We start from the raw sequence: 27,034 nt of genomic DNA on the forward strand, positions 1-27,034 counted from the left end.
CTTTCCTTTTGAGTTTTCCTGACTGATGAGGTCGAGCACACAAACACATCCTCTGCATGTGCACATTTCTGGTATCTGTTCGTGTATCCAAATGTTCTCTTTTCGTAAAGACACCAGTCAGATTGGATTAGGGCCCACCCTAACAACCTTATTTTATTTTGACCACCTCCAAAGGCCTTGTCTCCAAATACAGTCACATTCTGAGGTACTGGGGTTGGAGCTTCAACATGTGAATTTGTGGGGACACAATTCAGTCCATAATAGTCTTTGATCCATTTGAAATCAGATCTGTGATGGTGCAGTTGAGGGTGTGTGTGTGTGTGTGTGAAGATTCATTTTTTTTCCTGGGCGTGTCGAGTTAATGCCATTTATTGGAAGGACCATCTTTTCTCTGTTGTTCTGTAGTGTCATCTTCTTAAGTCACTGAATATATGTGAGTCTGTTTCTGTTAAATCTTCTATTTTGTTGGGCTTTTTGTTTGTTTTTTGCCAATAACATGCTTTTTATAGCCTGTAGTTTTATAACAAGCCTTAGTATCTGGTATGGTTAATTTACAGTTCTTGGCTATTGTGAATAAAGTTACTGTGAACATTCTTCTACAAGTTTTTTTTTTGTGGGCATGTATTTTCATTTCTCTTCATAAGTAGTAGTGGAATTGGTAAGTCATTAGGGCATTAGGGCAGGTATAGTTTAACTGTGTAAGATAAGAAACCGGCTGGGCACGGTGGCTCATGCTTGTAATCCCAGCACTTTGGGAGGCTGAGGCGGGCAAATCACGAGGTCAGGAGATCGAGACTATCCTGGCTAACATGGTGAAACCCCGTCCCTACTAAAAATACAAAAAAATTAGCCAAGTGTGGTGGTGGGTACCTGTAGTCCCAGCTACTCGGGAGGCTGAGGCAGGAGAATGGCGTGAACCAGGAGACGGAGCTTGCAGTGAGCCGAGATTGTGCCACTGCACTCCAGCCTGGGCAACAGAGTGAGACTCCTTCTCAAAACAAACAAACAAACAAACAAACAAAAAAACCCTACTGGCTGTTTTTATCATTTTTTCTTGGTTTTGGCTCTCAGCAGTGTTACTATGATTTGTCTAGGTGTGGTTTTTTTCTATTTGTCCTTATTGGGGTTTATGATGCTTCTAGAATCTGTGGCTTAATGTCTTTTATTAGTTTAGTTTTTTTTTTTTTTTTTTTTTTTTTGAGACAGCGTCTCTCTCTCTCTCTTGTCTAGGCTGCAGTACAGTGGTGTGATCTTGGCTCACTTCAATCTCCACTTCCTGGACTCAGGTGATCCTCCCACCTCAGCCTCCTGAGTAGCTGGGATTACAGGCATGCGCCACCATGTCCAGCTAATTTTTTAAAATTTCTTGTAGAGATGGGGTTTTGCCATGTTGTCCAGGCTGGTCTCGAACTCCTGGGTTCAAGCAATCCTCCCGTCTTGGCTTCCCAAAGTGCTAGGATTACAGCTGTGAGCCACCGTGCTCTACCTTTTATTAGTTTTGAAACACTCTTGATTGTTACTTTTCCACATATTGTTTTTGCCCTTTTTTGTTCTTTCTTTCTGGGACTATAAAAATGGGTATTTTAACTTTTTATTATATCTCATCTGTCTCTTACGTTCTTTTCCAGGGTTTCCATCTTTTTGTTTGCCCACACTTCAGTCTAGACATAATCTTCTTTAACTTCCATGTTGCCAATAGTTTTCACTTATGCCTATAATCATCTTTTAAACCATCCATTGAGATCTTAATTTCATCTCTTGCCTTTTTCAGTTCTGCAGTTTTATTGTGGCTCTTTTTGTAGTTCTTTTTCTCTGGTACAATTCTATTTTTTAATTCCATTTACACATTATGCTCTCTTATTTTTGTTTTGTTTTGTTTTGGTTTTTTTTTTTTTTTGGAGACGGAGTTTCCCCTGTTGCCCAGGCTGGAGTGGAGTGCAGTAGCGCGACCTCGGCTCACTGCAACCTCTGCCTCCCAGGTTCAAGTGATTCTCCTGCCTCAGCCTCCCAAGTAGCTGGGACTACAGGCACACGCTGCCACGCCTGGCTAATTTTTTGTATTTTAGTAGGGATGGGTTTCACTGTGTTGCTCAGGCTGGTCTCAAACTCCTGAGCTCAGGCAATCCACCTGCCTTGGCCTCCCAAAGTGCTAGGATTACAGGTGTGAGCCACCATGCCTGGCCTATGCTCTCTTATTTTATTTATTTATGTGTTATTTTTATTTTCTGATTTTCAGAATATATGCTGCCGACAAATATGCTTTCTTATTTTAATGACTACTGCATTATCCAGTAGTCTATTTCTGGTGCTCATTTTTTCTCTTGTTTCTCAGTCAAGTCTTGTCCGCTTGAATGCCAGGTTATTTTATATGAAGTGTCAGTGATAATATAATAAAAATTGTAAAGATAATTTTGAAGCTGTGGGTGCTGTCGTCTCTCTTCAGTGAGGATTTACTGTTGCTTTTCATAGGCAGCTAGGCTAGGGACATTGGAAATTTCAGATAACTTTATGTATTTGACTTTCTTTTATGTAAAATAAGTTTTATTGTGTATATTTAAGGTATAGAAATTTCAGATAACTTTGATTTTGTTTTTTGTAAAATAAGTTTTATTGTATATATTTAAGGTATAAACATGATGAGATACGTGTATAGTAAATGGTTACTATAGTGAAACAAATTAACGTATTCTTTCTCTCTCATAGTTACCCATTCCCTGCCCACCCCTCCAGGGCAGCTATAATGTACTCATATAACAAAAATCATGAATGCAGTACACTATTATTAACTATGGATCTCATGTTGTACATGAGATCTTTTAACTTGTTCATCCCATATATTTTCTTTTCTTTTATTGAGACAGGGTCTCATTCTGTCACACAGGCTGGGGTGCAGTGGCATGATCTTGGCTCATTGCAGCCTCTATCTCCTGGGCTCAAGTAATCCTCCCACCTCAGACTCCTGAGTAACTGCGGCTACAGGCACATGATACATGCTTGCCTGATTTTTAAATTTTTTGTAGAGATGGGGTCTCCCTATGTTGCCAAGGATGGTCTCAAACTCCCTGGCTCAGGTGATCCTCTCGCCTCAGCCTCCCAAATTGTTGGGATTACAGGCATGAGCCACCATACCCGGCCATATTTTCTGACCTACATGTTTCTTCCCTCCTACCCAACACTGCTAACCACTGTTTTGTTCTCTATCTCTATATATTTGACCTTTACAAAAATTCCGCATATAAGTGAGATCATGCAATATTTTTCTTTCTATATCTGGCTTATTTTACTTAGCAAAATGTCTTCTAGGTCCGTCCATGTTGTAGCAAATGGCAGGATCTCCACCTTTTTATGGCTGAGTAATATTCCATTGTAAATATATACCACAGTTTCTTTATTCGTTTGTTCATTGATAGATACCTAGGTTGTCTCCATACTGGCTACTGTGAATAATGCTGCAGTGAACATGGGCATGCAGCTGTGTGTAGAAGGTGCCAATTTCATTTTTTTCGGATAAATATCTGGAAGAAGGTTTGCTGGATATAGTAGCTCTATTTTAAATTTCTTTAGGAGTCTCCATACTACTTTCTGTAGTGACTGTACCCATCTACATCCCTGCCAGTAGTGTACAGTAAGCCCTCAATGTCCTTGATAGATGGTTGAAAATTGACTTTAAGTGAAACAGTGTATACTGAATTCAGTTTTTTTTTCTCATCAATGTTATAATGAAACAATGTTGAAGAAAACAATGTTATTCAAAGGACAAAGGACCTGCTCTATGCCTTTCTCTTTTCTTGTCTAGAAAAAGGGTTCCCTTTTTTTTGTAACTTTTAAGTTCAGGGGTACAAGTGCACATTTGTTACATAGGTAAACTTGCGTCCTGGGGGTTTGTTGTAGAGGGTTCCCTTTTCTCCACACCTTCACAAATACTTGTCATCTCTCTTGTCTTTTTGATAATAGCTATTCTAACAGATACAAGGTAGTATCTCATTGTGTTTTTGATTTGCATATCCTTGATGATTGGTGATATTGAACACCATTTCATATACCTGTTGGCCATTTTTATGTCATCTTCAGAGAAATATCTATTTAAGTCCTTTGCCTGTTTTTAAATCAGGTTGTATGTTTGCTTGCTGTTGAGTTGTATGAGGTCTTTTAAAATATTGAATATTAACCCCTTATCTGATATATTTTTTCTCAATCTGTAGGTTGCCTTTTTATTGTGTTTACTTGTGTATATTTTTATTTTTTTTACCTTGCAGCTTCACCTCAAAGGAACTTTCATTTTATTGTTTCTTTTGCTTTGCAAAAGCTTTTTAGTTTGATGTAGTCCTGTTCACTTACTTTTTGCTTTTGTAGCCTAAGTTGTTGATGTGATAGTCAATAAATTATTGCCAAGGCCAGTGTCAGGGAGCTTTTTCCCTGTGTTTTCTTCTAGGAGTTTTGTAGTTTCAGGTTTTATGTTTAGGTCTTTTATCCACTTTGAGTTGATTTCTATGTGTTGTATAAAGTTAAGAGTTCAGTTTCATTCTTTTGCGTGTGAAATCCAGTTTTCTCACTACCATTTATTGATGAGACTATTCTTTCTGCATTGTATATTCTTGGTGCCCTATTGAAAATTTGACCATATTTATTTGGATTTATTTCTGGGCTCTCTATTCTGTTCCACTGGTCTGTGTATTTGTTTTTATACTAGTACCACGTTGTTTTCGTGACTACAGCTTTGGAATATAATTTAAAATGAGTTAGTCTGATGCTGCCAACTCTATTTTTCTCAGAATTGCTTTGACTATTTGGGATCTTTTGCTATTCCATATTAAATTTAGATTAAAAAAATTTCTGTGAAGAATGCCATTGAGATTTTGGCTGCGTTTCCATTTCTTTGTGTGCTCCTCAATTTCTTTCATCAATGTTTTATACTTTTCAGTGTGCAGATCTTTCACCTCCTTGGTTGAATTTGTTCCTAGGTATTTTATTTTTTTTGATGCTATGTAAATAGGATTGTTTTCTTTTTTTTTCTTTTTTTTATTTTTTTTTTATTGATCATTCTTGGGTGTTTCTCGCAGAGGGGGATTTGGCAGGGTCATAGGACAATAGTGGAGGGAAGGTCAGCAGATAAACAAGTGAACAAAGGTCTCTGGTTTTCCTAGGCAGAGGACCCTGCGGTCTTCCGCAGTGTTTGTGTCCCTGGGTACTTGAGATTAGGGAGTGGTGATGACTCTTAACGAGCATGCTGCCTTCAAGCATCTGTTTAGCAAAGCACATCTTGCACCGCCCTTAATCCATTGTTAACCCTGAGTGGACACAGCACATGTTTCAGAGAGCACAGGGTTGGGGGTAAGGTCATAGATCAACAGCATCCCAAGGCAGAAGAATTTTTCTTAGTACAGAACAAAATGAAGTCTCCCATGTCTACTTCTTTCTACACATACACAGCAACAATCTGATTTCTCTATCTTTTCCCCACCTTTCCCCCTTTTCTATTCCACAAAACCGCCATCGTCATCCTGGCCCGTTCTCAATGAGCTGTTGGGTACACCTCCCAGACGGGGTGGTGGCTGGGCAGAAGGGCTCCTCACTTCCCAGAAGGGGCAGCCGGGCAGAGGCGCCCCCCCACCTCCCGGACGGGGCGGCGGCCGGGCGGGGGCTGCCCCCCACCTCCCTCCCGGAAGGGGCGGCTGGCCGGGCGGGGGCTGACCCCCCCACCTTCCTCCCGGACGGGGCGGCTGGCCGGGCGGGGGCTGACCCCCCACCTCCCTCCCGGACGGGGCGGCTGGCCGGGCGGGGGCTGACCCCCCACCTCCCTCCCGGACGGGATGGCTGGCCGGGCGGGGGCTGACCCCCCGACCTCCCTCCCGGACGGGGCGGCTGGCCGGGCGGGGGCTGCCCCCCACCTCCCTCCCGGATGGGGTGGCTGGCCGGGCTGGGGCTGACCCCCCACCTCCCTCCCGGTCGGGGTGGCTGCCGGGCGGAGACGCTCCTCACTTCCCAGACGGGGCAGCTGCCGGGCGGAGGGGCTCCTCACTTCTCAGACGGGGCGGCTGCCGGGCGGAGGGGCTCCTCACTTCTCAGATGGGGCGGCCGGGCAGAGACGCTCCTCACCTCCCAGACGGGGTCGCGGCCGGGCAGAGGTGCTCCCCACATCTCAGACGATGGGCGGCCGGGCAGAGATGCTCCTCACTTCCTAGACGGGATGGCGGCCGGGAAGAGGCGCTCCTCACTTCCCAGACTGGGCAGCCGGGCAGAGGGGCTCCTCACATCCTAGACGATGGGCGGCCAGGCAGAGACGCTCTTCACTTCCCAGACGGGGTGGCGGCTGGGCAGAGGCTGCAATCTCAGCACTTTGGGAGGCCAAGGCAGGTGGCTGGGAGGTGGAGGTTGTAGCTAGCCGAGATCACACCACTGCACTCCAGCCTGGGCAACGTTGAGCACTGAGTGAACGAGACTCCATCTGCAATCCCGGCACCTCGGGAGGCCGAGGCTGGCAGATCACTCTTGGTTAGGAGCTGGAGACCAGCCCGGCCAACACAGTGAAACCCCGTCTCCACCAGAAAAATATGAAAACCAGTCAGGTGTGGTGGCGCGCGCCTGCAATTGCAGGCACTCGGCAGGCTGAGGCAGGAGAATCAGGCAGGGAGGTTGCAGTGAGCGGAGATGGCAGCAGTACAGTCCAGCTTTGGCTCGGCATCAGAGGGAGACTGTGGAGAGGGGAGAGGGGAGAGGGAGAGGGAGATTGTTTTCTAGATTTCGTTTTTGGCTAGGTCGTTATTTGTGTATAGAAATGACATAGTTTTGTTTTGATATTATATCCTGCATCTTTACTGAATTCAGTTATTATATCTGTATTTTTGATGACATCTTTTGGGTTTTCTACATATAGGATCATGTCATCTGCGAACAGATAATTTTACTTCTCTGATTTGGATATCTTTTCTTTCCTTATCCTTCTCTTCCTTCCTTCTTACTTTTTTTTTTTTTTTGAGACAGGCTCTCACTCTGTTGCCCAGGCTGGATTGCAGCAGTGCAATCTCAGCTCACTGCAACCTCTGCCTCCCGGGTTCAAGTGATTCTCCCACCTCAGCCTCCCAAATTGCTGGGATTACAGATGTGCACTACTGTGCCTGGCTATTTTTCTGTGTGTGTGTGTGTGTGTGTGTGTGTGTGTGTATTTTTTGGTAGAGACAGGGTTTCACCATGTTGGACAGGCTGGTCTCGAACTTCTGACCTCAAGTGATCTGCCCACCTTGGCCTCCCAAAGTGCTGGCATTACAGGCGTGAGCTACCATGCCAGGCCTTTTATTTCTTTTTCTTGTCTAATTGCTTTGATAGTACTTCCAGTACTATTTTGTTTTTGTTTTTTGAGACAAGGTCTCACTCTGTTGCCCAGGCTGGAGTGCAGTGGCATGGTCATGGCTCACTGCAGCCTCAGCCTCCCGGGTTCAGGTGTTTCTCCCACCTTAGCCTCCCAAGTAGCTGGGACTACAGGCGTGCACCACCACGCCCAGTTAATTTTTTGTATTTTTTTTGTAGAGATGGTGTTTGGCCAAGTTGCCCAAGCTGGTCTCGAACTTGGGCTCAAGTGATCCGCTTATCTCAGCCTCCCAAAGTGCTGGGATTACAGGTGTGAGCCACCGCACCCAGCCCTTCCAGTACTGTTTTGAATAGAAGTGGTGGTTGTGGGCATCCTTGCTTTGTACCAGATCTTAATGGAAAAGGTTTCAGTTTCTCCCCACTGATGATGATATTTGCTGTAAGTTTTTCATAAATGGCTTTTGTTATGTTGAGGAACTTTCTTTTTATTTTTTTTCATTATTTTAAAAATTTTATTATTTATTATTTATTTATTTTTTTGAGATGAAGTCTTGCTCTTTCACTAGGCTGGAATGCAGTGGCGTGATCTCGGCTCACTGCAACTCTGCCTCCTGGGTTCAAGCAATTCTCCTGCGTCAGCCTCCTGAGTAGCTGGGACTACAGTCATGCGCCACCATGGCTGGCTAATTTTTTGTATTTTGGTAGAGACGGGGTTTCACCATGTTGGCCAGGATGGTCTTGATCTCCTGACCTCATGATCTGCCCGCCTCGGCCTCCCAAAGTGCTGGGATTACAGGCATGAGCCACTATTTAGTTTTTTGAGACAAGGTCTCGCTTTGTTGCCCAGGATGGAGTGCAGTGGCATGCTCATGGCTCACTGCAGCCTCAACCTCCTGGGGTCATGTGATTCTCCCACCTTAGCCTCCCTAGAGTAGCTGGGACTACAGGTGTGTGCCACCAAGCCTGGCTAATTTGTCTATCTTTGGTAGAGATGTGGTTTTGCCATGTTGCACAGGCTGGTCTCGAACTCCTCGGACTTCCCAAAGTGTTGGGATTACAGGCGTGAGCCACCACACCTGGCCAGAACTTTACTTCTATACTTAAACTGTTAAGGGTTTTTATCAAGAGATGATGTTGGGCTGGACGTGAGGGTGTGTGCCTATAGTCCCACCTACTTGGGAGCATGAGGTGGGAGGATGGCTTGAGCCCAGGAATTCAAGTCCAACCTGGGCAACATAGGAGAACCTATCTCTCAAAAGAAAAAAAAAATGGATGTTCAACTTTGTTGAATGTTTTTTCTGTGTCAATTGGTATGATCATGTGGTTTTTGTCTTTCAGTCTGTGAATGTGATGTATCACATTAATTGATTTGAGCGTGTATATATTATACATATATATATATATATATATATATATATATATATATATATATATTTTTTTTTTTTTTTTTGAGACGGAGTCTGGCGCTGTCACCCGGGCTGGAGTGGAATGGTGTGATCTCAGCACACTGCAACCTCCGCCTCCCGGGTTCAAGCGATTCTCCTGCCTCAGCCACCTGAGTATCTAGGACTACAGGTGCCTGGCTAATTTTTGTATTTTTAGTAGAGTCAGGGTTTCACCATGTTGGCTAGGATGGTCTGGAACTCCTGACCCTGTGATCTGTCCGCCTCGGCCTCCCAAAGTGCTGGGATTACATGCGTGAGCCACTGTGCCGGCCAATTTGCATATATTAAACCGGCTTTGCATGCCAGGGATAAATACCACTTGATCCCAATGCATAATCTTTTTGATGCATTGTTAATTTCAATTTGCTGATATTTTATTTAGGATTTTTGCATCAGTGTTCATCAGAGATATTGACCTGTAGGTTTGTTTGTTTGTTTATTTATTTATTTTTTGTGGTTTCTTGGTCTGGCTTAGGTATCAAGGTGATGCTGGACTCATAAAATGTGTTAGGAAATATTCCCTCCTGTTGTTTTTCTTGGAAGAGTTTAAGAAGTCTTGGTAATAATTCTACTTTGAAAATTTGGTAAAATTCAGCCGTGAAGCCATCTCTTCCTGGGCTTTTCTTTGTTGGGAGGTCAGATTACTTTAATAACAGATTGAGATATTTGGAAGCTGGGCCTCAGTTCAGAGGATTAGTCTGTTTTTGGTTTCGACTTTGTTGTAAGGTAGGCAGGTTTTCTTTTTTTTTTTTTGAGACAGTCTTGCTATGTCACTCAGGCTGGAGTGCATGATCTCGACTCACTGCAACTTCCGCCTCATGGGCTCAAGTGATTCTTGTGCCTCAGCCTCTCGAATAGCTGGGATTACGAGTACACGTCACCACGCTCGGCTAATTTTTGTATTTTTAGTAGAGACAGAGTTTCACCATGTTGGCTAGGCTGTTCTTGAACTCCTGACCTCATGATCCCTGTGATCTGGCCTCCTAAAGTGCTAGGATTACAGGTGTGAGCCACTGCGCCCATCCAAGGTACCAGTTTTGGTTGGTAAGGACATTAATTTCCTTTTGCTGCTGTAACAAATTAGTGCAACCTAGTGGTGTAAAACAACACACATTTATTCTCTTAAAATTTTGAAGGTCAGAAGTCTAGAACTGATCTTTTAAAAAATATTTTGTTGTAGAGATGGGATCTCACTATGTTGCCCAGGCTGGCCTTGAACTCTTGGCCTCAAGTGATCCTCCCACGTTGGCCTCCCAAAATGCTGGGATTACAGACATGAGCTACCATGCCCAGCCTTAAAACCAATCTTGGGGGCAAAAGTTAAGATAGCAGCAAGTTTGTTTCCTTATGCATGTTCTAGGAGAGAATCTGTGTCTTGTGTCTTATATGGAGTCTACCAACATTTCTTGGCTCATAACTATGTCACCCCAGTTTCTGCTTCTATCTTATATCATTCTTTTCTAAGTTTGGTCGTCTTGCCTCCTCCTTTTAAGGACCCTTGGCATTATATTGGGCCCACCAAAATAATTCTGGATGCTTTTTCCGTCTTAAGATCCTTTATCACACCTGGACATTCTGGGGAGCAGAACATAGACATCTTTGGACAGGTCATTGTTTAGCCAAGCACAGGGTTCATCTGACTTGGCAGGTCCTGAACTCCAAGTGTTTTTTCTCAGCTTCTGATTCTCCTGAAATCTCTGCTTAGTTTCTTAGCCCATCAGCCTCTTCTTCTAGGGGGAATAGAAATGTCAAATACTAGACTTGCCTTTCTGGGGATTCCCACTTCTCTCACAAATTCTCACTGTTTTGATAGCTCTCTGAGGCTTTCAGACAGATATATATTTTTTTTTTTGGTATTTTTTGTCAAGCTTTTCTTGTTCTTGCCAGAAAGGTGGATCCAGAACAACGTAGTCTTCAATTTGATCACTTTTTTTGAATAATTGAAGTGCATTTTGCCAAATCTTATAGCATTATATGTTTTATTGTTCATTTTTTGATGGTTGTTCCCTACCTTTTAAAGATTTTTATATTCCCCACCTGCTTTATTTGTTGTATGGTATGGATTAAAAGTGAAAAGTTTTGATGGTCAGTTGCTATATATTTCTCTTTAATGAATAGGCTTAAAGAAGAGGTTTACTTGTTTGGGGCATAATTAGACAGCTTACGTAAAAATACGCTCTTTGAGTAAATCTTTGGATAATCTTTAGTACAATCTTACCATTAGAATTTTTACTTCATTTTTAGTAAAAGATGCTAATATGAGTTATAGTCCTATGTTCTCTGAGAAGCAGACTTTACTCTTAGAGGTGAAGTTCTGGCATTTGTTGCCAGAGCTAGTGGTTTGTGATGTGTTAGCTGCTCTGGCATTGTTTGTTGTAGTGGTCAGATTTAAAAAACTTAAAGCTAAGTAAATCCAAGTAAATTTAATGTATTATGTGGAAATGGATTCTGTCTGCTTCTTAGGCATCTATCCAGATAAGATTTAGAATACAATTGGTAGAGTTTTTACTTGTGATGTTGCTTTGTTTCAGTATGAAGGCTATGAAGTAGAGTCATCTTTAAAGGATGCCAGCTTTGAGAAGGAGGCAACAGAAGCACAAAGTTTGGAGGTAGAAAATCAAATGGTATAATTTTAAAAGCTGGGGAAAAAAATACTAAGTAACAAAAACTTTAAAAATGTATCTTCTGAAAACTATTTGAAAAAAATGTGAAAGAGCATCTCTGGATGTTAAAACTTAAATAAGAAAATTAATATAGGAAATGGGACAATAGGAGGTAGCATAAAATATTATAAAAATTTAAAAATTTGAGCTTTTATTGCTAACTTGTTTTGAGTCAGGCATGTTTATGTTCAAGGAATCAGGAGCTGTATAGAAACTTCGTTCTATTATTCCTGGGAAATGTATTAAGGTGATCGTTCCTTTTTTGACTCAGTTTGCTCTAGAAAGGAGAAATAAGATTCATTTTTACAAACTTAGGAATAGTTGGCAACAATAACTTTGTAAATTATGACAGTATTTGCTTTATTTTCATCCTGAGGATATTAAGAGCTAACTAGAATTAGGCCAGAGGTTTACGTTATAAGTAATGGTGTATGTTGGTAAATGTTTGACAACTTTTTTTTTAAAAAGCAGCCTTATTTGTAGCATTTGCTGAGTTCTGTAGTATGAATACTTCCACCATGGCCAGTTTCAAGCTACCAACATGATGTCACTGAATGAGGAGTCTTGGAAGATAATGCTTAAAGTAGGCTTTCCTGAGCCAAGTGTGATTTGGTTAATTTTAAGGAAGGAAAGTATGGTAATTTGTAATTTAGCTAAACTAAGACAGATTAGGGTAAGTGATGGGAGTGCCTTACTACTGTTTAGATGTGGACGTGTTGTAAAAAGCACAGAAGTGACAAAGGATAGCAGAGGACACCTGCGTCTGCAGATACTAAAACAGAAAACAGTAGACCTTGTACCTTTGATAAGCGTCTAGTACAGTGTGGCAGTTCTCAATCACTGCTCTCCGTAATCATCAGAAACTCTATGTGTTATGATTCAGAATTTTCTAGTAGAGTCCAAAGGAAGTTATAAATTGGATTCCAAATAAGTTTCTTAATGTTTTCTTCATTTGTTGCCTATTACTATCTTCAAGAACTTGTTGAAATTATATTTTATTTGCTAACCCTCTGTCTTAACTACCCTTCCATTAGTAATTTATGTTTGATAAAAAAATTTTAGAAGGCATTTGACATGCTAACAGAAGAGCAAAAAGTAGGTAGCAAAGACATTTACTCAAGCTTGGTAATACTGAGGATAAAATATTACACATCAATTTATTTTCAAGGTAATGAATTATTATAGGAGTAAAATTAGCTGAATTTTTAGCTGCATTCAACATTTTGGAAATTTTTCTTCAATTTCAGTAATTTTTTAGCATAGTATTTTCAGTAATAGTAATCATAATTGAATTCAAACTATAATGTGATGCAATTTAAAAAAATATGATAGCTGAATCTGTAGATAAAATCAAACCAGTAGAGTAATTTTCATTCGGGTCAGGGAATTCCTAGAATGAAATATTCAAATTTGGGGTAATATGTATAAACAAGTTTTTAAATCACTGTAATGTAGTATGTATTTTTTTTGCTTTTATTTTGGCCTGCATTAAAATCTTTGAATCTTTTGGTTTATTTTTCTTTAACAAGTTTGTTGAAGGATCACAAATATCAGAGGTATGTTTATTATAGTATTTAAAATCCATTTGGAATAATCCAATAACTAATCATTTTAAATTAAAAAGGTCATAGAAAATAGGTCTTAATTCAATATGGAATATTATCATGAAGCAGCCTTGATTTTTTTTTAGTTGATTTTTTATGTCATGCCTTTAATTGTATTAAATTGGCTTTATTTCTCATTTTTTTCTTTATAGTGCTTTTAAGCAGAGGTTGGCAAACTGTGCCTAATGGGCTCTCCACTTTTTTTTGTAAAAAATTGTTTTGGAACACAGCCATGCTCATTTATGTAGGTATTGCTTTTGTTTCTCACTGCAGTGGCATAGTTGAGTAATTGCAACAAAGACTGCATGGCCTACGAGCCTAAAATATTTATTCTCTGGCTCTTTACAGAACTTTGCTGACCACTGCTACAATTGCTGTTATTTTGATATTATAAAAATGAGCAAATGTATAAATGAAAGTTATTTAACTTATAGTACATATTTTTTATTATGCTCGTCTGATTTCCCTAATGAAAAATTCTTATATCTGTTTAATAAAGTTGGCTTTCTCTCTTAGGCAACCTGTGAAAAGCTGAACAGGTCCAATTCTGAACTTGAGGATGAAATACTCTGTCTAGAAAAAGAGTTAAAAGAAGAGAAATCCAAACATTCTGAACAAGATGAATTGGTAAGGCTTTTTTATTTGAGGAGAATATAAGAAAAAGAAAGTTACTGAGCTTTAAAAAATTAATATGATACTGGTTAAAGTATTACATTATTGTAAAAAATGTAAAGAATACAGGTGGTTGTAGAGAGCAAAATTTTCTAGATCCATTCTTTTCACTTCCCCCAGATGTTACTGTGTTAAATTTCTTGCATATTTTTATAGAAATTTTCTATATGCACTATGGAAGTAGCTCATGTAAATAAAAACTGAATAATCATGTCCATAGTGTATATTTGTAATTACTTAACATGTATATTAACATTAAAACTTTTTCTTTTGAAAAAACCTGTCTTAATGAAAATCTTGATGTATGTGAGATTATTTAGTAAAACATGTTAGTGGACTTATCTTGAGCCTATATAACTTAAATGTTATGAAATATTAAAGTTATGAGATACTATTGTTACGTAATGTTCATATAAAATCCCTTTTAGCATATGGCTAAATAAACTGAGAAGGTTTCTTAATTTGAGCTTCACTTATGGAGCTAAAGTGTTAGGTTAACAGTATATCTAATAAACATGGCATTTTGGAAACTAGAGTTTAGTAAATATTAATTGCCTGATACTGTGTTTCTAGATGGCGGATATTTCAAAAAGGATACAGTCTCTAGAAGATGAGTCAAAATCCCTCAAATCACAAGTAGCTGAAGTAAGTTGAATTAGTCTAGTAGGTCTGTTGCTTTTGGAAATAATTTTAGTTTAATTTTTTAAAATTAAGAAATAAGACACAATAGTAGGATTTGAGATATAGGGGATCCCAGATATGTATTTTTTTTTTTTTAACAATACCTAAATGAATTAGCATGGCTGTGTTGCCCAGGCTGGAGTATAGCAGCACGATCTTGGCTCACTGCAACCTCCACCTCCTGGGTTCAAGCAGTTCTCCTGCCTTAGCCTCCTGAATAGCTGGGATTACAGGCATGTGCCACCACACCCGGCTAAGTTTTGTATTTTTAGTAGAGGCAGGGTTTCACCATGATGGCCAGGCTGGTCTTGAACTCCTGAGCTCAAGTGATCGGCCCACCTCGGCCTCCCAAAGTGCTGGGATTACAGGCATGAGCCACCACACCCAGCTTGTATTTTTTTTTTTTTTACGTGAAGTGCTTCAGAAAAGTTCATCTTTTCAGTGGACAAGTGTTTATTGAGCTATTACTATATATTGAGGACTGGTTGCTTGACACTTAACATTAATAGACAAAAAAGTCCCCAGGAAGTTTAAATTTTAGTAGGGGAGGCAGAATAAATAGTTATCAAAATTTGCTGCACAGTACATAGAAAGTTACAAGAGGTTTGTCCAAGGTCACATCGTAGCAAGTTAGTGGGAAAGGCAGGACTAGACCTGGATTCTAGACAAGCCTTTTTTCTGCTACACCATGCTGCCTCTGCTGTTAATATTGGCATGGTTTTGCCTTTGTTTAATTCTGTGTTCTAGGGAGTATGTGTAAAGATGAGCTATGTATTAAATTAATTGTTACAAACTTGACATTTTTTGTTTCACTTAGGCCAAAATGACCTTCAAGATATTTCAAATGAATGAAGAACGACTGAAGATAGCAATAAAAGATGCTTTGAATGAAAATTCTCAACTTCAGGAAAGCCAGAAACAGGTTTGTGCTCCGTAGGGACTCTTCAACTTGTGAATATGTAATTATAGATGTTCTTGTCATCCTCATGACTGACCCATGCTAGGGACAAGTATAGGCTTTTCCTTGAGAGCATGAGAGCAGGACAGTCTCCCATACATATTTCAGTGTCTGTCTCTTTTGTATAGTATACAAAAGTGTATACTTTTGGCACCCTCTACCCCAGGGCAGGGAAAGTAAGCCAGGGCATTTAGCATTTTGGTAATCATAACCAACTTCTTAAAGCCATGCCGAAGGGGTACAGAGAATATGAGTGAGGATTATTGAAGTTATAGATCTGGGGTCTAAAGATAGAAACAATTCTGGTGGCAGATCACATAAGGATGTGACATTTGCCCTCTTTCTCCCCCACATACATAGATACTCCCACGTATATTTCTTCTTCTCCTTTGCCAATGTAATTGTAACTTTTCAGTGGGAAAATTTTTCAGTGATTAAATTATTATAATTATCCAAATATTACTCACACCAGAGCCACATGGTTTGTTCTTTTTTTTTTATTTTTTAATTTTTTAGACGGAGTCTCACTCTGTTGCCAGGCTGGAGTGCAGTGGCGTGATCTCGGCTCACTGCGACCTCTGCCTCCCAGGTTCAAGCAATTTTTCTGCCTCAGCCTCCCGAGTAGCTGGGACTACAGGCGCGCGCCTCCACGCCCAGCTAATTTTTGTATTTTTAGTAGAGATAGGGTTTCACCATATTGGCCAGGATGGTCTCAATCTCTTGACCTCGTGATCCGCCTGCCTCGGCCTCCTAAAGTGTTGGGATTACAGGCGTGAGCCACTGCACCTGGCCTCATGGTTTGTTATTACATATTCTGTCTTATTCAATATTTTCCTTAGGGTTAATAATTGTTTTGTTTCTTGTATACTTATCCGGTTCATCTGTATGCTGTCTTCTAGAGATACAGATATCTTATTCATGCCTTCAAATGCTTTGTTTAATCTGTTAATTGCATTTTTTTTTTCTTGAAGCAGTTTTTTCTTTGGCCTCCCTTGGTTTCATAAGAACTTATTCTGTAGGTGTGTGTTCTGTTCTGTGTCCTAAGATTTCACTTCACCCCCATCCTAAAGGTTCCTCTTGTCTTTCTCCTGTGTTAGATCTTTTATTTTCCATATCTGAGCCCTTTTGCGGTTAATTCTTTTGGTTAATTTTCTGAGGAAGAGGTATAGGAGATAATTTTTTTAGAACTTACATGCCTGGAAATGTCTTGTTTCTCATACTTGTTGATATTTTGGTTGAATATATTCTGGGTTGGCATTTTTTTTTTCCTCAAAATTTTGACACTGTCACTCCATTGTCTTGACTTTCCAATATTGCTTTTAAGAAGTCAGAAGCTATTCAGATAATTGGTCATTTTTGGAAATCTGCTTTTTTCCTCCTGGAAGCTTTTAATATCTTTTTATTGTTTCCCCTTCTCTGAAATTACAGATCATTACACATCTCTTGACCTCGTGATCCACCCGCCTCGGCCTCCCAAAGTGCTAGGATTACAGGTGTGAGCCACCGCGCCTGGCCACGGGCGGGGTTTTCTTTTCTTTTCTTTTTTTTTTTTTTTAATTTTTATTTTTATTATTTTTTTTTTATTATACTCTAAGTTTTAGGGTACATGTGCACATTGTGCAGGTTAGTTACATATGTATACATGTGCCATGCTGGTGCGCTGCACCCACTAATGTGTCATCTAGCATTAGGTATATCTTTTCTTTTTGTTGTTTTTTTTTTGTTTTTGAGATGGAGTCTTGCCTTGTTGATCAGGCTGGAGTTCAATGGCCTGATCTTGGCTCACTGCAACCTCCACCTCCCGCGTTCAAGTGATTCTCGTGCCTCAGCCTCCCGAGTAGCTGGGATTATAGGTGTCTGCCACCACGCCCGGCTAATTTTTTGTATTTTTAATAGAGACGGAGTTTCACCATGTTGGCCAGGCTGGTCTTGAACTCCTGACCTGAGGTGATCCACTCACCTCGGCCTCCCAAAGTGCTGAGATTACAAGCGCGAGCCACCACGCCCGGCTATTGGTGGGCTTTTCTATAGGATATATATTTTTTTTGTGACAGAGTCTCACTTTGTCACCCAGTCTGGAGTTCATGGCGCTATCTCAGCTCACTATAACCTCTGCTGCCCGGGTTCAAGTGATTCTCCTGCCTCAGCCTCCCGAGTAGCTGGGATTGCAGGCATGTACCACCATCTGACTAATTTTTATGTTTTTAGTAGAGATGGGGTTTCATCATGTTGGCCAGGTTGGTCTTGAACTCTTGACCTCAAGTGATCTGCTTGCCTCGGCCTCCCAAAGTGCTGGGATTACACGCATGAGCCACCACGCCTGGCCAGGTTAGGGTATTTCTAATTGGAGGATTCTCAGTTGTTGGTATCTGAAGAGCATTTCCACAGGGATGAGTCCTCCACATTTCCCATTTGGGAGGTGTAAGCCTGTTTGCCAACAGTCTTGCAACTTAGGTAAAGAATGCTGGTGTCTGACTGTTCAGTAGTCAGTTTCCTCTTAATACTTTTATGTTTTCAGTATGTTACTTCCACCTTCACCTGGATAGATGTCCCAGAGTCTCAGGTTCCACCTCTCCAAAGAATGACCCTGTAGGGTTTTGCGTGTGTGTGTGTGTGTGTGTGTGTGTGTGTGTTTGTGTGTGTGAAAGAGACAGAGATAGAGAATGAATGAGAGAGAATGAGAATAAGAATGTGTATATATTTATGTCATGGGAGGCTTTCCAACTGCTTTTTATACAGACTTTTGGCCAGTCCTCCTTTTTTCCAGTCCTGCTTATACCCCTGGTATTTGTGCCTTCAAATCATGAGGCTTTCTAGGGTATATCAAATCAGCCTACTTTTGGGTGTTCCTACCTTCAGGCTTAGATTTAAGTTCTCTCTAGTTGGTTGAGTCTTTTTATCACACTTCCATTTCTTTCCATTTTCTACTTCTACAATTATTTTTTGTCTCATCTCCTATTTTCTTTTTTCCTTGTGGGTTTATGCCTTTGAAAAAAAAATCTGTTTTCTGCCATTTTAATAGATTTGAGTAGAAAGTGGTGGTAAACCCTGTGTTAAATTTGCCATGTTATGATCAAAAGTGGCCTTTTCCACCTTGGAAAATATTTCACCTAGATCAGTCTTACTCTTTACAACTGTTTTCATCTAACTCCCTTGTAATAATCCAAATTCTTGAAACAAACTGTATTCACTGATGCCATGTTCTAATGCACTCCTTCTCTAATGTTTTAATACTGTATACTGTGTACTTAAGTCTCTTTACTAACTCATGAGAGATGACCTAATCACCAAATGTGAATTTTTTCTTGGATTCTCATTTGTTTTTACCTGTATCATCTGATTCTGTTTTATATATATATATATATATATATATATATAAAGATTAGTTTTTCATGTGTTCGGAATACGCTAATGAAGCCTTAGTTTTGCGGAGAAATCCAATAATTACTGTTTGGTAGAACAGAGTTTTTTTTTTTTTTTTTTTTTTTTGTGAGCAACATGGCTGTTTATTTCACCTGGGTGCGCAGGCGGGCTGAGTCCGAAAAGAGTCAGCCAGAACAGAGTTTTAAAGACTAAATAAATTTAGACTTTTTCATATATATGAGCCATTTCTTTTGTGAATTGCCTGCTCAGTCTTCTTTTTTCTTTGCCTATTTTTTCTTATTGACATCTAAGAGCTCTTTGCTTGCTAAGGTTATTAACCTTTTGCTACAAATATTATGAGAATTCCTTTCTTGGTGGGGTGCAGTGGGTAACACCTGTAATCTCAGTGATTTGGAAGGTCCAGGTGGGAGGATCACTTGAGGCCAGGAGTTCAAGATCAGTCTGGGCGACATAGTAAGACCTTGACTCTACAAAAAATAAAAATAAAAAAATTAGCAGAGTATGTGACATGTGCTTGTAGTCTAGTTGCTTGGGAGGGTGAGGTGAGAGAATATCTTGAGCCCAGTAGTTTGAGATTGTGGTCCAGCTTGGATGACAGAATGAGACCCTCCCTGCCTCTAAAAAAAAAAAAAAAAAAAAAAAAAAAAAGAAATAATTCCTTTCTAGTTATTTATCTTTAAATGTCATTTGTGTTATATTTGATTTGTGAAGCTTTTAAGCTTTATGTAGTCAAGTCTACCTTTTATAATGATCTTTACTTTTTGTCATGTTCAGAAAGGCTTTCCTTTCCTGTAAAAGTATATATAGTAGAATACTGTTGTGGAGAATCTGATCTGTTCTAGATTAATGGTATTTCTTTTTTTTTTTTTTTTTTTTTGAGACGGAGTCTCGCTCTGTTGCCAGGCTGGAGTGCAGTGGTGCAATCTTGGCTCACTGCAACCTCTGCCTCCTGGGTTCAAGCGATTCTCCTGCCTCAACTTCCTGAGTAGCTGGGACTACAGGCGCGTGCCACCATGCCAAGCTAATTTTTGTGTTTTAGTAGAGACGAGGTTTCACCATGTTGGCCAGGATGGTGGTATTTCTAAAGGTTAGTTATTTTAAGTACAAAATTGCACAATGATTTAAAAAATAAATTTTAATGCAAGTAAGGTATGATATTTTATATGGGATATAAGGAATGGTAAGAAATGATCAAATCTAAGATATGTATATCTCAGGAAACCTTTATTTGATATAAATATATGATATAAACTAGTTGAAGAATGTGTGTGTTATTTTACACTACCCCATTTTGAAAGTTCTTTGAAAATAGGAGCCATGTTTTTCTTTTTTAAGTAGCTACATAATGCCTTCTTGGTATCTTTTAATGATTCACTTGTGTGATGAGTTGCATTTTTAAAATTTTCATTTTCAGCTTTTGCAAGAAGCTGAAGTATGGAAAGAACAAGTGAGTGAACTTAATAAACAGAAAGTAACATTTGAAGACTCCAAAGTACATGCAGAACAAGTTCTAAATGATAAAGAAAGTCACATCAAGGTAAATGGCTCTACTGGTTTTAGTGATCAAGTTGGCTAGAATTTTACACTAACTCTGAAATTTGAAAGCTAGTTTTTAGCAACTTTTATTTTCACAACATATTTTCATAACATATTTGGCCAGATTTTCAAATGTTTCTTGAAGACTTACAGATTTGTCATATGTACATACACATACACACACACATACTTATATGAATATTCTGTGTGTCCTTTTTTCTTCTCTGTATTTTAGCCTAGGTATTTAATAAAGAAATAAAAATAATGGTTTCTACCATTTCTCTTCAGGATGCTATCTGCTCCTGTTAGGAGGTTGGAAGAGTTTGAGAAATTGGATGTATAGTTATATATATTAATTGAATATCTTTAATGTAACTGGTGTATGTACTTTGATGGAGAGGAATACTTTTAAAAAATAAATTTAATTGAAACTTGACTCCAGTCATAAGAATAAAAGGATTTTTTGATTTTTTAGATTTTTAAGATTTTTAAAAATCTTAATGCTGATAAATACAGATACTCAAGTGTATCAAATAATGATATGTAAAACTAACGTTCTATAATTTACACAGTGATGTGGATGTTGTCATATTGAAAGTGATGCTCTCACTCATAGGTGGGAGTTGAACAATGAGGACACTTGGACACAGGAAGAGGAACATCACACACCGGGACCTGTTGTGGGGTGGGGGGAGGGGGGAGGGATAGCATTAGGAGATATACCTAATGTAAATGACGAGTTAATGGGTACAGCACACCAACATGGCACAGGTATACATATGTAACAAACCTGCACATTGTGCACGTGTATCCCAGAACTTAAAATATAATAAAAAATAGTATAAAGAAAGTGATACATTTATGCCAGTTATGTTGCTACTAAGAATATTTTCAAAATTCCAGCTTTCTGAGTTTTATTCAGAATTTGGCATATATATATATACACACACATATATACATATATACACATACATATACACATATATACACATATATACATATATACACATATATACATATATACACATATATACACACATATATACATATACATACACACACACACACACACACACACACACACACACACACGAGATGGACTTTCAATCTTGTCACCTAGGCTGGAGTGCAATGGCACCATCTCGGCTCATTGCAACCTCTGCCTCGTGGGTTCAAGTGATTCTGCTGCCTCAGCCTCCTGAGTAGCTGGGACTACAGGCATGTGCCACTATGCCTGGCTAATTTTTTTTGTATTTTTAGTAAAGACGCGGTTTCACCATTTTGGCCAGGCTAGTCTTGGAACTCCTGACCTCAGGTGATCCGCCCACCTTAGCCTCCCAAAGTTTTGGGATTACAGGCGTGAGCCACCGCATCTGGCTGTGGCATATTGTTTTATTTATTTTTTCTAAACTTCCTCTACTAAAGGCTTTGGGATTCTTTTAAAGATAACAAGAATGAGATGCTAACCTCAAGCTCTGCTCAAAGGTATAGGCCATGTTATTTGTGCCTGGAACTCTGAAGAGAGGGAGGAGATCGAAGGGTGAAAATTGTAGATCAGTGCATTATTTTTAGGTGGGTCCCTCCAGAGGAATACATGACACGTCATTTGATTATCTGTAGTGTTAGAAAATATTTCTTTAATCAACAAAATTCAAAAAGTACTTTTGGAAAACCTCTAATGTTCCATTCAAATTCTCTTTTATAAATGTCTTTATCTCAGCTAATTGTTTCCTTGAATAAATCAACTAAAAATCTACGATCTTTTTATACATTATGTATCTCACTGCAGATGTGTTTGGTGTCACACAGAATTTACTCTCATGTTAATTAGGGCACTGTTATTTGTGGCATGTGAGAAATGTCATATAAAAAATATTTTACTACTTTTTAGTTGCATAATATTAATATGTACTATATTTGATTTGGGAATAACTAGTTTTGGCTTTTACTTGCAGAGTTTAATAGTCAATAAATGTTACCATTTCTCAAGACTACAATATCTTAATAAGAGGTGGAAAATAAGAGCTCTTGTGTTGTTATTTATGTGGACTGATTTTTAAACTATAACTGTACATTCACAAGTTGTAAAGCTGTTAGCATAAGGCATTACCCTCTCTATTTTTCCCCTTTGTTCAATGTCAAGACTCTGACTGAACGCTTGTTAAAGATGAAAGATTGGGCTGCTATGCTTGGAGAAGACATAACGGATGATGATAACTTGGAATTAGAAATGAACAGTGAATCGGAAAATGGTGCTTACTTAGGTATTAAGTCATGACTCATCTCCTTTTGCTAAAATGGTGACTAGCTCTTCTATTTCCTTTTCGTTCCCTGTGTGCACCATGTTCTTTATATGCTTTTACTTTGGCACATTCTGTCTGTCTGTGACACACTGTCCTTTCTCACCATCCCTTATAGTTTTTAGCTTCAGCTGGAGCACTGCCTTTTCAGTAAGTCTTTCTCCAGCTGCTCAGACACACTTACAGCCTCCTCCCTTTTTTTTGTGTATTATACATATCTTTATTATAGCCATTTTCAAAATTACATCATAATCATTTCAATGCCTGTTTTTCCCTGTACTGTAAGCTAATCAAATGGATGAATGACTAGTTTGAAGAACAAGTGTTCTATAAATACTTCAGGATACTTCTTTTGCTTTTGTCAGAGGTTCAGATGGTTACAGTACTTTTAATGTTAGCCATTCAAATTATTATTGCCATTGATGGTTGTGCTCTGAAGTTGGCAAAAGTGGCCAAATTTAGTTTCACTATAGCCCCTTAATGTATTCTCACACCAATTCCTTTGACCTAAAAAAAACCTTTTTATTTTGAAATATGGCATCATAGGAAGTTCTAAAACTAGTACAGAGGTCCCATGTACCCCTCTCTCATTTTACCCCAGTGGCAGTTCTTCAGACTTTTATGTCATTTTTCTGTTCTCTTCCCCAGCCCCTGCATAATTAACAAATTTATTATGGAGGAAAAAGTGTGATTAAAAATTTTTTTCGTGACAACATTAATATGTTGGAAAAAATTACATCCCTAAAATAAGTATATAAAGTTCTGTTTGTACTTTTTCATTTCTACTTTATTATATATAAAATAATCCTTTCTCTATTTGAGAAAACTCATGCTTGTTTAATGTTATTTTAACTTGGGTTATAATTTTACTCATATTTTGGATGCTGTAAGAATCCAAGAATAGTTAATGATTGTGGTCTATATTTAGATGAATATAGAATCCTTGTTATAACTCTGTTCTTGGAGTTAGAGCTGAAGAACCTTGTTAAATGGTATGACACTTCAGTGCTTTTATTGTTTAGCTTCCTGGGAGCAGGTCCAAGGCCATTCTGCTTTATACCAAATTCTTTATTGTAGCAAGAAGAGGGATTATAAGTTTCTGGTTTAGTGAACTGATAAAATCATTTTGATGTCTATTGTCGTATTGTACTATTTTCCCAAATCATTGTTGTGCTTTTGATTTTCACTGTAGATAATCCTCCAAAAGGAGCTTTGAAGAAACTGATTCATGCTGCTAAGGTTTGTGCTATTAGATACTTAAAAAGAATAAGGAGGAAGAAAGAGAACGTGGATTACTCATGTCCCAGTAAATGTTTAAAAAGTCCATTTTATTGTTCCCATATAAATATATTTACAAATTATCAGAATTTTCATCATCAATTGCTTTTTCCTTTCAATTATTAACTTTAGAAATTTATATAATTTTTGGAATTTATCAAAATAAAAAATTCCAAGTTCTGTACTCATTTTTCGGATAAGACTATATTTAAAATGTTTCCTGTATTTTATCTTGTAGTTCCCTCAGTGCATTCTTTTTCTTCTAGTCTCAGTATTTTCTTACCCCTTCTGCCCTATATCCTATTTTAAGTAAATACTAGATGCCTTTTTTTCTGGTTTATTCCTTCTCTTTTCCACCCTAGTAGTGTGGTATCCTCATTTTTGCTGATCTATGTGAAGTCTTGGTAATGTAGTTTGAAGGCTGCTTTAATAAAAACTTTTGTTGAAAGTAAATAGAATGAAAATAGTCACTTTCTTAAGCAGCCAGTGAAAAGCATTCACTACTTTTCCCTGTCCCTTGTTCTGAGACTTACAAGCATTGACGACTTTGCTGGTTTTTTTAAGACGGAAGCTGCATTATGGTTTCTGTATTCCAGGTGATAATTTCATCAAAACGATAAAATCACTTAAAAAGTGTTAGGGGGGTCATACTGAGGTTTTATTTTTTATTTTTATTTTTTTGTATAACTGATTAATGTTACTTTTTTCCTTCTTCCCTTCTTTAAAGTTAAATGCTTCTTTAAAAACCTTAGAAGGAGAAAGAAACCAAATTTATATTCAGTTGTCTGAAGTTGATAAAACAAAGGAAGAGCTTACAGGTAGGTCATTGACATACATACTTTTAATGTTTTTCTAAGTAAGTACATCTCTTGGCAGAGAATGGTAAAAATGAATTGAATTAACTTTGGGAAGATCCAATTTTATTTTTTTTTAACTTTTGTTCCTGTTGGGTATTTGTGAAACATTAGTCCTGGTTTTTGTTGTCATTGTTGCTAAAGGCATATCGATTTCCTCTGTATTTATGTGAAGTTAAAATAAGGAAATTTTTTAAAAAACATGTAAAACCGTATTTATCTTCGAATTACAGTGTTATGTGTTTGAATGGTTTTAGATGTTAAAAAGTAGCAAATTGAAACTTAATGTTTAAAGTCTTTGTTAATTGAAAAATTGATCTTCAATAGTGGTACTATTTGCAGTATGATTCGTTCCTTTAATGTACATACGTAGTATATTAGTACATACGAGAGTGATGTTAGACCTGTAGAAATGAAGGTGTTGTTTTAATTGAAAACATTTATGTTTATTTTGCTGATAGTGTTTGTATTTTCAAAAAGTAAACAAGTTCTGTCAATATGTTTGAAAATTTTTAAAGTTGAGATAAATAGCATCTCATTTTGTAAAAATAAAAAATATAAAGATTTACCATATGCGTTTGCATCAGAAAAGACTGGAAGGACATACTCAAATGTCAACAATGATTATCTCTGAATATGGGATTATGGGCAGATTTTTATATTCTTTTTACTTATCTGTATTTTCAAAAACTTCTACAGTAAGTGAACTGCATTTATAATACTGTTTTAAAAGATTGAACCACCAAAGATAGAGGTTATTAAAAAATTATATCCCTACTCACATGATTATAGTAATTGGATTATTTTTGGATTTCAAGAAACATTAGTATTAGTTTAAGAGAATGTTGCTATATGTAAAGCATTGTACTAAAAACTATGGGAGATATACAGAAGGAAAAGATAGCTTACTTTCAAGGAAGCTGTATTTCAAAAAATGTGTGTAGAAAGTGCCAGAGTGGCAAGGAAATTTGCTCACCAGTTATCCCACTCCTTAATACAGTTTCCTGGCAAATCTTTGTTTCTTTCTTAGACTAATACTTGGAGACCTATGTCTCCTTGTACTCTTCTTTCAAATCTAACTTTGTTTTTTTAATGGATCATGAAAGATAAATTTCTGTAATTGATGTTTTATTCATAGCATGAAGATTTTCCTCTAAACTGTTTCTTCCTTTTCTGGTAATCATTTACAGTGGTCTTTATGTTACAATTTGAAACACAGTAGAAGTACAAAAATATGGCCAGGCGCGGCGGCTCACGCCTATAATCCCAGCACTTTGGGAGGCCAACGTGGGTGGATCACTTGAGCTGGGGAGTTCAAGACCAGCTTGGTCAACATGGTGAAACCCTGTCTCTACTAAAAATACGAAAATTAGTCGGGCGTGGTGGCACATGCCTGTAATCCCAGCTGCTTGGGAGGCTGAGGCACGAGAATCGCTTGAACATGGGAGGTGGAGGTTGCAGTGAGCCAAGGTTGCACCACTGCACTCCAGCCTAGGCAACCAAGCGAGACTTTGTCTCAAAAAAAAAAAAAAAAGTACATAAATATATTAAATAATTAAGTGTTGGGTTGTAGTTTTCTTGTTTGTTTTACAATAGGGATGATTAAATTTTAATAGAGATAATACCCAACGTTAATTTCTTTACGTGATTGTTCTTGGCAATGGCTTAAAGCCTAGGTCAATGAATTTTTTTTTTTCTGATGTAGATTAAAAAATTTCTGTGGAAAGATAGTTACGTACAATTTCCTATACATTTAATCATTTAATGTTTAGGTATTTATGTAAACTGTTCTTTTGGTTTGTATGTTTAATGGGTTATATTAGTCCGTTCTCACATTGCTGTAAAGAACTACCTGAAACTGAGAAGTTTGTAAAGAAAAGAGGTTTAACTGGCTCATGGTTTTGCAGGCTGTACAGGCTTCTGCTTCTGGGGAGGTGTCAGGAAATTAACAGTCATGGTGGAAGGTGAAGGGGTAGCTTCCTTACATGGTGGGAGCAGGAGGAAGAGAGTGAAGGGGGAGGTGTTACACACTTTAAAACAACCAGATCTCATGAGAACTCTATCATCTAGGGGGAGACAGCGCTAGGAGGATGGTGATAAACCATTAGAAACCACCCCCTTGGTCCAATCACCTCCCATCTGGCCCCACCTCTAACATTGGGAATTACAATTCAACATGAAAGTTGGATGGGGACACAAAGCCAAACCATATCATGAGGGTTTTAGAATAATTAAATACCATTACATGTAATTACTAAAATTTTCATGCTTGTTAATACTGTTTCCAAAACTTCCCTCTTTAGGCAGAGTGAGTTTTGTCTTTTAAGATTTGTGGTGGTGATTCATATACACGT

General features: G+C 38.4%; 1 protein-coding gene across 62 annotated transcripts in view; it reads left to right on the forward strand.

The window, feature by feature from the left end:
• The window catches only part of MIA2 (MIA SH3 domain ER export factor 2), a 154,608-nt gene that overhangs the window by 45,823 nt on the left and 81,751 nt on the right, over positions 1-27,034 (forward strand). For 24 of the 62 annotated variants that reach the window (XM_024449596.2, NM_001329214.4, NM_001354145.2 and 21 more), the window contains 8 exons: positions 11,282-11,359; positions 13,534-13,644; positions 14,263-14,334; positions 15,188-15,292; positions 20,127-20,249; positions 22,392-22,512; positions 23,741-23,787; positions 24,554-24,644. In XM_024449596.2, coding sequence (XP_024305364.1) covers positions 11,282-11,359; positions 13,534-13,644; positions 14,263-14,334; positions 15,188-15,292; positions 20,127-20,249; positions 22,392-22,512; positions 23,741-23,787; positions 24,554-24,644 — 748 coding nt within the window. Of the gene's footprint in view, positions 1-11,281; positions 11,375-12,942; positions 12,970-13,533; positions 13,645-14,262; positions 14,335-15,187; positions 15,293-20,126; positions 20,250-22,391; positions 22,549-23,740; positions 23,788-24,553; positions 24,645-27,034 lie in introns of those variants that run through there. The other 38 variants (XM_024449592.2, XM_024449595.2, XM_047431399.1 and 35 more) reach the window with 6 other exon arrangements.

This window comes from Homo sapiens, chromosome 14 (assembly GCF_000001405.40).
Source record: "Homo sapiens chromosome 14, GRCh38.p14 Primary Assembly".
NCBI lineage: Eukaryota > Metazoa > Chordata > Mammalia > Primates > Hominidae > Homo > Homo sapiens.